The sequence below is a fragment of the Homo sapiens genome, chromosome 5 (assembly GCF_000001405.40).
Source record: "Homo sapiens chromosome 5, GRCh38.p14 Primary Assembly".
Classification (NCBI taxonomy): Eukaryota; Metazoa; Chordata; class Mammalia; order Primates; family Hominidae; genus Homo; species Homo sapiens.
In genome coordinates, this window is record NC_000005.10 from 91,626,355 (window position 1) to 91,639,358 (window position 13,004).

At 31.5% G+C, this 13,004-nt stretch overlaps 1 annotated feature.

Moving 5' to 3' along the window:
- Positions 6,441 to 7,055: an enhancer, noted in NCBI's record as "VISTA enhancer hs269". NCBI's record gives its function as "enhancer in: hindbrain (rhombencephalon)[10/12] | midbrain (mesencephalon)[10/12] | forebrain[10/12]" and the evidence as "EXISTENCE:transgenic organism evidence [ECO:0001131][PMID:17130149]".

A 13,004-nucleotide genomic window follows, 5' to 3' on the forward strand; every position in this document is an offset into this window, starting at 1 on the left:
ATTTGTTGGGAATGGCAACAAAGTTGACCATGTTTCCACTCCCAACAAATGCAGATTTTGTTAATAAGGAAGAAGGAGAGAAAAGATGTTGAGTAAAGTCTAGTTCTTTACAAATATTCCAGGAGTTTATTGTATTTGTAAGAGTTTATTATATTTATTGATGTAGGGCTTATTTAGATAGGTTTTACATTATTACTTTCTAAAAGTGGGTTGTTATTTTTAGACATTATACATTATCTTGTAACTACTTTCAGTTAATTCAATGTGATAAATTACAAAGGTACACTCTAGTGCAGATCACTCTAATGCAGATTAACTAAATGTAGCTCTGTTAAGCCCCATACTGCATTAATGGATGCCCTGGTATATTCTGATATTATTTTAACTTGGAAAAACTCTGTTTTCATATTTTCAAGCTTCTATGAAATTGAACAAAGTTTGAGTAAGAGTGGTCTCCACCATCACTTTATAGCTATAAATTGCTTGGTCTGGGATTGAAATATGTAAGTGATCTGATCACAATAACGATCTAGTTATAATTTTTCAATAATGGACTTTAATACTATGCAATGAATCATTTCCATAAAGGACAAACCAATAAAGGATGCAACATTTGAGACAAGATTTAAAGAAATATTATTATTCAGGAAAAAATACTGTCTTACTAAAAAACTTATATTTATTGTCTTCATTTGCAGCCCTTGAAAACATTTTTTAAAATTCAGTATTTATATTAATAGACGACATTATACATTGTATTGGACTTGAAGATTTTAAATCTCTTCACTCAGTGCTATGGTGAAGCCAACTCTCACTGGATTGTAAAAGTCAATTGTGTGCATCTTTTCCTAACTTTTCATTCAGCGACGTAACATTGGTAGCTAGAATTTGGCCATGGTGAGAATATTTAGCTAAGGAAATCAGCAATACTACAAATTGGGACTTTTTTTAAAAAAATAAAATATCCAATTGTTAAGTATTTACTAGCATACCCTTGAATTCACCACAAAAACTCTTGCAGATTTGTTTGAATCTAGGAACCTAGATCCATCCTTGCAACTTTTTGACTCCATAGTTCCAATATTTTGCAATTCTTCTCATTTTTCTTGATGACTTTTTCCATGTTAATGTTAAGAGAAAATGTAGAAGTAAATGAGAGACTAAGAAAAGGAAATACTCTACAGAATAGCTCCTGCATTTCTTTTTAAATCCCCATGTCTTAATTTCTAATCGGGTTTCAGTCATTGATTAAATTCTAAATTAATTATACAATAATTATATACCTTTTGCTATGGATTGACTTGTGTTGCCTCGAAGTTTATAGGTTGAACCTTAATCCCCATGTGATGGTATTGGGAGATGAGCTTTTTCGGAGGTAATTAAGTTTGGATGAGGTTATGAGTGTAGGGCCCTCATGATGGAATTAGCATCCTTATCAGAAGAGACATCTCTCTCCTCAGGCATGCACAAAGATGAGGATGTGAGCACCGAGCAAGATGGCTGCCATCTATAAGGCAGGAAGAGATACCTCACCAGAACCCCATAATGCTGGCACTCTGACAGTAAAATTCTAGCCTATTGAACTATGAGAAAATAAATTTCTGTTGTTTAAGCCATCCAGCCTATGATATTTTGTTATAGCAGTCCAAACTGACTAAGACACTCTTGTTATTTTAGATTTCTATTTCTGATAAAAATGATTTAATAAACCACAATAAAAGATTATTAATTTTTAGTAAAGAAGTTCTATTTCTTTACTGAAGGAGACTCAGCGAACTTTCAAGGCTGCAGAGACATTTTTCCAGTCTAACAATTGGGCTCTTAAAGGAGCCAAAGCCATCTTATGTTCAGAAACATAATGTGAACATGACAGAAAAAAGTATTAACAAGTTACATGTGTGGTATTGGCATTTTGTAATGCATTTTGAATATTTCTCTTTACTTTTTTTAGTGTTTCCAATGGACAAGTGACTCTACCTCTTCAGATTCAGTATATTCAGCAAAGGGATTATCATAGTTTTTTTTTTAAACAGAAGCATATTTAATTCATTTTATTAAAGATAATCAGATATAGAATTTATTGTTTTGGATATTTTTTGTTATAGAAAGTGCAAAAGAATATGGATAATTAAGGTAATTGCAGGATTATTCAAGGTAAAAATACTTCTTTCGTTGCTTGATTGAACTTTAATTACACAGACAGTTGAAATAATTTTCCACTTTAATTTACAGTGTAGACCTGACCAATTTGTCTGTTTTAAGAACTGGATATATATTTCAAATTAAGAATGGCAAATCTCATTTTTCCTTCATAAATGGGTAACATAATGTAGATTCAAAAGTCCTAGGATTCAGGAAAAGAGGGCTGGAGTCTGTTGCTACTCTATGGGAACTGCTGGACTTGTGACTTTTAATTAACTTCTCTCTCATTTTGCTTGATGGCAATAAGTTATGTTCAGATAATATTTATTTGTTCGCTAAGGATTTTCATGCTTGGTTGTAGGGCAGTGAATTAGATGTTAAGGAGAGGGGAGTCATTAAAAAAATAAGTCAGATATAATTTTATCATCAATCTTAGACCATAACAATGGAGATGAGGTAAATCCCCAAAGTGATAAATCCCCAAAGATGTAGGAACTAGCAACTATGGAAAAGGTGTCATTTGAATTCATGCTTGAAGAGTAGGTAGGATTTGGACAGGCTGGAACAGAGGAAAGGGCATGATAGGCAGAGCCATTTATATAAGCAAAGTGTATTCAGACAAGAGGCAAGTTTAATGTAGGTAGAGAATGGACTGAATAGAAAGGAGAAAAGGAGTAAACTTCTATTGAACATCTACAATGTGTTAAGAAATACACTCTTCAAAATCAACTCTTTTAATAGTAAGAAGAGTTCTTCAAATTTGGTAGTATTAAAAGATAAAATAGAAGACTATTGTCTGTGTGTGTATGTGTGTATGTGATTTATATAACGATCATACAACTAATAATGATAATGAATAATGGTACAGCTTACTGGTCAAATAAATTCTCTTTTATAGTCTTAATTCACCTATAATTTTTGCATATACTATATGCTCACAATATAATTAGTAATTTTTTTATCTGTGAGCCAAAAATGGGAGGAACAACATGAATCATGTCTATTGTGCTGAAATAAATCATGCTTAGGACTCTGTGAACCTTTCTCAGAAGAACATTTTGAATATACTGCAACACATAGGATATGAATTGTTTATACATTCCTGTATAAAATTATTCCCAATATTGCACCAGCTTTTTTTTTTTAGTATCACCATTAAAGAAGAAAGAAGGACATGACCTTTTGTTTTGCCTCTTAGATATTACAGTCACCAGTCATTTTTGTTCTGATGGAAACTGTAAAGGTGGTCAAAACACTCTTTTCTAGAAGGAGAATATATAAAGCTAATGAAGAATCTTTTTACTTTGTTACATCTCAGTTCCTAAATTCCTGTCTCATTGCTTATCTCAAAAGAATAAAAACTGGATCTGGTCTAAAAAATTATGCCATCACTTATTTTGTCAAGCCCACTAGTGGTCTGTAAATCAAATCAAATCTCCCCTTTCAGATGAAAAATGTTTCAGTTGAAATACCAAGCAAGTAGTTTTTGAGAATTCTTATGTTCTAGGCCTAGGATTGCATCAATGAACAACATTAACAAAAGACTGTTTTTCTTCCAATGTTACTCCCTGCTATGGTTTGAATGTTTGTCCCCATCCAAAATGCATGCTGAAATTTACTTGCCATTGTAACAATATTGGTAGGCGGGGCCCAATGGAAGATGGTTAGGTCCTGAGAGCAGAGCCCTCATGTCATTATAAAAAGATAAAAAGAGCTTTAGGGAGTGGGCTCTCCAGTTTGTCCCTTTCACCCTCTGCCATGTGAGGATCCAGCCTTGCTCCCCTCCAGAGGATTCAGCATGCAAGGCACTATCTTGGAAGAAGAGAATGGCCTCACCAGACTCCAAACCTGGTGGCACCTTGACCTTAGACTTCCCAGCCTCTGATACTGTGAGCCAATACATTTCTCTTCATTATAAATTACCGATTCTGTGGTATTCTGTTATGTAGCATAAAATAGACTAAGACACTCTCTCATCATACTATGTCTACTACATCACATTTATTAGAGGGGCTAGCCAGGGTGGGGGATTGTGGGGGTGATAAAAATCATAATAAAAAATGATGTTGTGGCCAGAGGTGGGAATGTGGGGAGATTTGAAGATCAAGTCAGGCTGAGGAACTGAGACATCATTCAATATTTTTTCCTTTTATTTATTTCTATCTTACCTCTTAAAATATTTTAGTAGGAGTTTATTAAATTGTTAACATAGGTCTTTGAAAGTTTTTTGAGCAGTGAATAAAGTTTGGGGCTGGACTGTAAACAAATTTGTTGGGCAGAAATGTGAAGGTTAAATAGTAGGACGGAAACCTGGGAGGTAAGGGACCTGTTCGGGAGCAACTGAAGTAAAACAGACAAAAGAAAATAATGGATTGCATAAGCAAAGAGATTTGGGGAGTAAAGAGGAAGGAATGAATGTGACCAAACTTGATGAGGACCAAATGTCATAGATAAAGAAAAGGGTGGTCTCTGATATATTAAGGGTTTTGAGCCTATTACTAGGAGGCTATTAATAGCATGACTACAATTAAGGATACAAGAGGAGAACTAGGCTTGTATAGTTAATGAGTTCTTTTCTGGACATAATGTCTTTTGGAGTTCTAGTAAAGCATCCAGAATGTTTTGCTCTGGAGGGAGTGAGAAATTGAGACTAGAGCTCTAGAGAAAGCTTGGAGCTGGGCTACATATTCATGAATTAAACGTTACAGGTGATAATTGAGGCTATGAAATTGCCCAAAGGATATAATAGAGGAGGGGTAGGAGCAGGGGGAAATGGGGGAGCATTGAGTATAAGAACTGCTCCCAATTACACTACGTAACGTTTAGGTCTAAATGTCAGTTATTAGAAATATTTAAATTAATGATAAAACTTTAAAAAACAGTTGTTCAGAAGCAATTTCCATCTCAATGTGTTGTCTTTTTTATCCTAACATAGACAAAAAAATCTGTAGATTGAGCAGTTTATGATGTCATATAGAAGAAGTGTTTGGCAACACAAAAGTCCAGAAATCAAAGGGATTTAGAGTGGGATGCATTAAGTATATATAAAGTAAAAACTAGTGAATTACTTACTAAACCAGTAACTCTGAAAATTAGTAATGCAGTTTCTATTCATTAAAGTTATTTTTAAAACTGAAAGGCTTTTCAACAAGTTGTGTGTATGTTAAGAATGTATGTTTTTGAATTAAATAGTACAAGGACAAAAACTGGTGAAAAAGTATTCACTTAAATGAAACACATGCTTAACCATTTCTCACTGTTATTCTAAAAAAAATTGCATCTGGACTGAGAAGTTTTATTTTGCTTTGTGTCAGTGTGATGTGAATTAATAAAGTGGATAAATAATCCATTCTCGAAACTCAAATGTTACTGAACTAACAAAGATGTATAATGTTCATGTTTTAAGTAGTCCCAATATCATTTTTCAAATTGATCTACAGTAGAAAAATAAGGTGGCTATTTATTTATGAATTGCTTTTAATTTATAGTATCCTTTCTTCTTCATATTTTTCCTCCCACATCCCTCTCATCTGAAGAGCCTATGGATTTATCTTGTGTCTGTCATTTTTCTTCACATGATTTAAAAATAATTAATTGCAGCACTCAGTGATGATTTATGATTTCTACTGACATAATTAATGATACACATCAATTTTCCTTCTTAATTGAAGGAATCACTACAAACTTCTTATTAAATATGTTGAAAGGGCAGGCTGTTGTAGTTCAACAACCTTTGGAAACCTTAAGTGGAACTTTATAATTTAACAACTTTCAATGAAAGTAATGCTTCACGAGGAAAAATATAAGCAACATATTGAAAATGCTGGGAGAGATTTTATAGAGATTTGAACAACTGTCTTAAGTAGTTTAAGAGTCAAGCTACACTTGGCCAGAAACTAAGGATTAACTATTTACAGTGTCTGAAAATGAAACAGTTTACTCAGAATAATGTTAAATATTTTGATACTAATTAAGCTGAAATAAAGAATATGGTCAGATTAGCTGAAAAGTAAAGATATATTTAACTTAATGTATATAAATATAAAATATTGCATAAAATTTACATCAATGTCAATTTTGAATTTTTCAAACTTGAATATATTCCTGGTAATAATTTCAAAGATTTATGTTTTTTATTTTAATGTTTAAGATTGCTGAACTGCCAGATGACATGAATATATGTTTGAAAGATAATACTAAAGAACAAAGAAATCTATTTTATTCTATTTATTAAGCTGTGTAGAGTGAAAAAATGCTAACCCTTATCAAATATATCAATATTTATTTCTTGTCTATTTTATTGGAATTCAGTATTTATTTTGGCATTTAACAAAGTAATAAATATTTCTCTATATTCTGCTTAAGTAATGGAACAAATAGGACTCAATATATTACAAGGTTTAAATTATAATATTTTTAAAAAGCAACAGTGTGTGCCTCAAGTGTTGCAAACTTGATTTGAGCATTTTATGGTACTCCAGTCAGCTGCCTATTAAAAGTGTGATCAGGTAGTTTAGACTGTGACTAGCTGTGTCAACAGAAGGAAAGTGGAGGATTAGTCTCTATGGCAACGACAAAGTATCCCTGTTTGTAGACAGACAAATTCTGCTACATCTGAAACTGATTGACAGGTCTATTCCTTTGCAACTGACCCATAGAAATTAGCAAGTAAAAGTTATTATACTGGGTTGTATTGAAGGGTTCTCAATATCTTAAAGTGCTCTTGTAAGTTTTTCTGCAGCATTTGCATGAGAAACCTGGCAGGAATTGTTCTGAGGTTTATATCTATGGTTTGATAGATTCTTTGTGGGGGAGTATTGCTGGTGAGAATAACTTAATTTTCAGTTCTCTGTATGACAGAATTGTTGGAGCATGGATTGAGGGGAAAACACACATCAAAGACCCAAAGCTGAATAATATGCCACATTTCAAAATCACAAGACCTTGTAAGAATATTATATTTTGAAACTGCTTTCAAGAAAAAATTTACCCAAATTAAATAGGAATAATTGTTGTAGGAATAACTTGACATGTTTTAAGATTATTACAAGAAAGATCGAGTTCAATTTTTAAAAACAATCCTTTAACTTTACTGTTTAATTTAAAACAGCAAGCATCATATTTATTATTGCAAAAATATTTTTTCTTTAGATATAAATTTTCTAATAAAGTAAAACACTTGTCATAAAACAAAGTATTTGCCTTTATGATAATTTTAGAACTATATTTTAGCTCATGTGCTTTAGTTTGAAGAGAAAAAATTAATTTGTTTACTGAAACTTGATTTTCTCAAATTTTGATCATTCTAAATATGTAATAATATTTTAAATATATTCTTTAACCCACTGAAATTGGGTAATATTACATCTGATATGTGCAATTTTATATATTTATAATTGGATATATTAATTACAACTGCATAAATTAAAATGGAAATACAATCAGCAAATGTAGGGTCAAATAACTGTGCTGAATTTAAATTTTTTATTTAAATGTGTTTTTCTTGAGGTAAAAGTACTAAGCATCTAGGACTCTAATTTATATTATTTTTTTCTTGATTTGTTGGCCTGAGAGCACGTTTTCTTTGCTTCATATTTGCTTCGTTTGATTACAGAGCAAAATCAAAAGCTAATACAAAACAAAACAAAACAAAAATCTATTGGGGAAAGTGAAGCCAGATCAAATAGGGACTTGTAACTCAGAGAGCTGTTTTTGGCTGCTAAAGTTTGAGGTAAATTTGGCTAAATTTAAATACACTTATATTGATAACTTTTTCTATTGATTACACATCAAAAAGGAAAACTAGAAAGAACATTTCTTATGTTTAAAGAATTCTTCTAGATAATATGTAATTTCTTTTAAAGAGGAAGCATAAATAAGCCCTCAGCTTTAGTGCTCTGGATTCCATCATAGCATCTGAGAGCAAAGTCTAACTGAATGGATGAACTGGCTTTCCTTTATTCAGAATATCTCACCACACCTAGATTTATCAATATCGTTGGACTATTTGACCTTTTCCATTTGTTACTGTAAAGGAGCAATTATACAGTATGCGATTTCTTTGGGAATTATTATCTTTTATATTTCAAATACAAATGAACACATTGTAGGACCTTTTCTTTAGTTTCAAAATAAGAATTATCTGTAGATCTGTTATGGGGAAAAAATTGAACATTTCAATAAAATTCCTTAGTTTTGAGTGCAAATTACAGCTTTAAAGAAAAGAGTCTGGCAAGGGTAGTGGGGGCTTGGAGGGGAGGTGAGGATGCTTAGTGGGTATAAAAAAATTAGAAAGAATGAATAAGACTAATATTTGATAGCACAATAGCGACACTATTGTCAATAATAACTTAATTGGGTATTTTAAAATAACTTAAAGAGTTTAATTGGATTGTTTGAAGGTCAAAGGATAAATGCTTGAGGGGATGGATACGCCATTCTCCATGATGTGCCTGCCTATTTCACATTGCATGCCTGTATCAAAACATCTTATGTACCTCATAAATATATGCACCTACTATGTACTCATAAACATTTTAAAAAACAATAATAAAATTTTAAAAAGTTCTCATTAACAAAATATTAATCACAATTTTAAAAAGAAAAAGAAAATGCCAATTTCTTTCCGAGTTTTTCAGATACTGATTTTTTTTCTAGAAAATGAAATGACTTGGCGCTGTTTATTAGTGCTAGCTCTGGGTTCCTAAAGAGATCTTTGCATATTATACTAAGGATATGATTAAACTGGAGACTCTGATTTTAGAGCTGTTGACAGCTGAGCCAGTATTGCCTTTCACCAGCTAATTATTATTTTCAGGGGGAGTCACTATTAGAAGAAAAATTCATGTTTCTGTTCTTACCTTCTTTTCAATAAGCACTAAGAAGGTTCATTTTCAGAGACATCCTTGCTACGCTGAGACTTGTTTAAAAGTGAAGCAAAGAACAGTTGCAAAAAGAATATTCAAATATGAAGATTCTTGATGAAACTTGAGTCATAAAAACTTGAGCCTCAAAACAATGTTTTAAGAATGATGATCTCAATCTCGATGTAAAACTTTTGCTATTTGAATTAGAAAAATATAATTTGTGCTGTAGCTCATTATAGTACTTATAAAACTATAGATTAACTAAATTTTTCCACATAAATCACATTGCTGACAAATTGTTTGTATATACTTTTGCTATCTGAGATTAATTAAGCATATTGTTTTCCAAAGTTCTTCAAGTTTGCATGCCACACTGTATTTTTGGTAAAATCATATAAGGTAATCCTTCAAGTGAGAACTCCTAATTTTTGGTCATTTCATAAGTTTTCTAGTTTATGTATCAATTTGGTATAGACTGTACAAGAGTATATATTTGAGATACTTGAGACATTCAACTTATTCCTATTTTAATTCATCTATACCCTGGCATTTCTGTAATATATCTTAAACAAAAATAGAATTTAAAAAACTAGAAGTCACTTCTGTTAAGAATTGGAGCACAAGAAGAAAGTCAATTAAATCATTTTTTTAAAAAAGTTAATGCCAAGTTACTTTTCTCTGAAAATATGTCTTCAATATTGTAGAGTTGAATTTGATTTAAAAATCATGCAGTTATTCTAATGAAGGTTTGATGTGGGTTTAATTTAATGACATCATTAAACTATATAGAATGTGTAGCTTTCATTACTGTCAGTTATTTTTTATTTAATTCAAATAAAAGCAACTTTGATTTCAAATTCCATATCATTATTCCTTTTTTAAGTCTTGTGAAAATTACAAATGACACATTCTTAATGAAAGTTTTGCTGAGCATCTACATTATAACCTTTACAAAGGATGATGTAAAAAATAAAAAGGCTTGGAATCTGATAAGACAAGGTGGACTTTTACATTCAAACGGTTCGGATTCTAATTCTGTTAGAGTGAATTGAGTTGACTCATAATTCTGCTTATGGATTGCAGACTTGTGCTTATGAGAGGCTTACTGTCAGATTGGGTTGCATCTGGCTGCCTTTTCAAGTTTCCTGAAAACAGCAGTATGAGCTTGTGATGTTCATTCTGTACCACCAGAGTGCGTGGGGTGGTCGTATGCTCAATCCATAACTGCTTCTTGAAGCACAGGGTAGAACACTTTTCCCCTTTTAATATTATAAAGACTAAAGTGCTTTTTAAGAAAGAAGATCTAAAATTTGAAACAAGACATGTAAGTAAAAGCTGTCCAAGGCAACTTTAAATTATGTGATTCACACTTACGCCAGATGCTGCTAGAGAAATTCCTTGGTTTCTCATTAACATGGAGCAGTCCCCTTAGACTTCACACATAGTGGCCACTCACAAGCACATACACATTCATGCAAATGTTAGGAACGATCAACTGCATGCTTCCAACTGTACAAGTTCCAACAGAAGAGATTTGAGAAAATTCATTTTAAGGAGATGAGCTGCCATTAAAAATTTGTCATTACTTTCCTCAATCTACTTGGCTAAAGCCTCAATATACTTGGAATGAATATCCTTAATGAACTTGGCTAATTGTTTTGTGATGTCATTTCTGAGTTTACTCAAAATCCATTTAGAAAAGCATTGCTTAGACATAGGTAAAATTCAGAATTTTCTTCCCAGGTGAAACTATAATGATAAAATGTTAATTTCTGTTTATAACTACTTTAGTACAGGGAATATTTAGATTTATAGAACCATGGCTTCAATCTTCACATGAAAATTTATATTCACATTTTAAACTTATATTTTATTTTTATTTTTCAATCATAAATAAATTATTCTCTGTTCCTTAGTTTATAGATTGATCTTCAGTTTTCCTTTTATTCGCTTGTCTATTCGCATGGTCATTTACTGGGTTTATACGTGGTCATTTTTTGAGTCCTATGAGTAGGCAGTTTTGATAGGACCTAACTCTTCAATTGCAGTTTAAAGTTAGGTCACATTTGGCTGGCTAGTGTTAAGTCCAGGATGTTTCTGTCCAGAAAGTATAGAGAGCTCTTTTTCTTTCTCTTTAGTAAACAAAAATCATAAAACAAACTGGACACTGAATTAGGTATGTCATAAATATGCATATTTCTATACTAAAAATGTTCTTTCTTTCTTCCATTTAACCAAAATCGATAATGTAAGGCAGCTCAAATCTTTATATTAGTTTGAATTTCTATCTTGTATCTATTTACCTATCTGTAATGTGTGTGTTTATAACCCACTTGCTTTTTTTCCTCCTTGGCTCTAAGGAGAAAACACTTTTGTATCAGTTAATAGGTGAAATAAAATCTACTTTTTTATAGTAAATATGCTGAACGCATAGCTTTTTGTGAGTGAAAGTTTAACATTCCATAATGTAGGAGAGACTGTGCTCTATGTTAAAGTTATTTTGCTTTGAAAGAGAATGTAATCACTGTGAGGGTAAGGATATCATGCAATTTCTTTTGTTATAGTCCTTGTATAGTCACAACTCTACTTATAACGGGTATTGAACCTTTGACAGAAATGCAAAATATATTCTGCCTTGCAACGCATACAATTTATAAAAACTCAAGCAGGATAATAAGTTATCCGAAGGAACTTTTGGAAAGGGAAATTTTAAAATTACAAAATTTAAAGTTGAAAGGTGTATTTGTATCTGGCATAATTCCCAAGTTGAAGTTCTTCTTTTCAAGCAATATTTACAAAAATATAATATTTTAAATCATCATCATCATCATTATCATCATCTCATCATCATCATCATCATCAATCTAAGAAATACCCAAATATACACATCACTGTGTAAGGGATAAATGGTTCCTCTTGAAGCTTTTTTTTTTCTTTTTTCACCTGAAGAAATGATATTGAAATGGATAAGACTTATGAAAGAACATACTGATGGACATAATGAAAGATGCTTCACAAAAACATGTCTCACATATATATTTGCATTAAAGTCAAGTGGGTTATGTTGGTAAAAGAATAGTATCGACTGTTAATATATTAGGCTTTAGGAAAATTTGGATTAATACCTCTTAAATAGTCAAGATTTCTGGAGGAGCAGTGTTTCAGGAAAAAAGGAAGGATTTCTAGATACAGGGAAAAAAACAGATTTCTAGATATTAGGGAGTTGAGAAATAGAATATAATGAAACTTTGCCTAAATAAATTCTTTCTTAGTAATTCAATTGTAAGAAAGATGAATTGCAGTTAATTTAGTATATAAAAAAATTTGAATGCATATATTATTTTCTTAGAATTACAATCACAGGAAGGACAATCTATCAAAAGATATTTTTTAAAAATCATAAATTTACAAAAAGATTCCATGACTTCAGCAAAATCTTTGGGAAATGCTCACTTTTCTCTCATGTCAATGAATCAATTGTTGAATTGCTGAATCAAGAGACACATCTCTATACTTAAAACATTTCAAATGGAAAGAATAGTACTGAAGTTTAACTTAAAGAAATCATCCTGTACTAAGCAAATAATTCTTCCTGATATCTTCCTAACATCGTTCAAATGTACTTTTGTAAATTATACTCTTCCTGGAACTATTAAAATAATCTACTAATTCTGATTCTAGTTACAGCTGTCACTTAATCTATTCCTGATAAATTGTCACACTTGTAACTTTGTTCTTTTTCTCAGTTTAAAATTGCACAATGTTAGTGAAATGTTTAGACAAGTAACCTTATGAAGGAAGAAGTGTAGGTTAAAATAAATGTAACATTATATAATTGTGTGTTGTCTCTGCAAATAGTTTAAAAATAAAAGAGAATAAAATTACTCATTTGACATTTCAAAGCATTGAAATAAGCCTTGATCATACCTATAGTTATCACGAACTCCCACGATCTACCTAGGAAAAAAATCTTTACCTAATAGTTGGAAATCATCA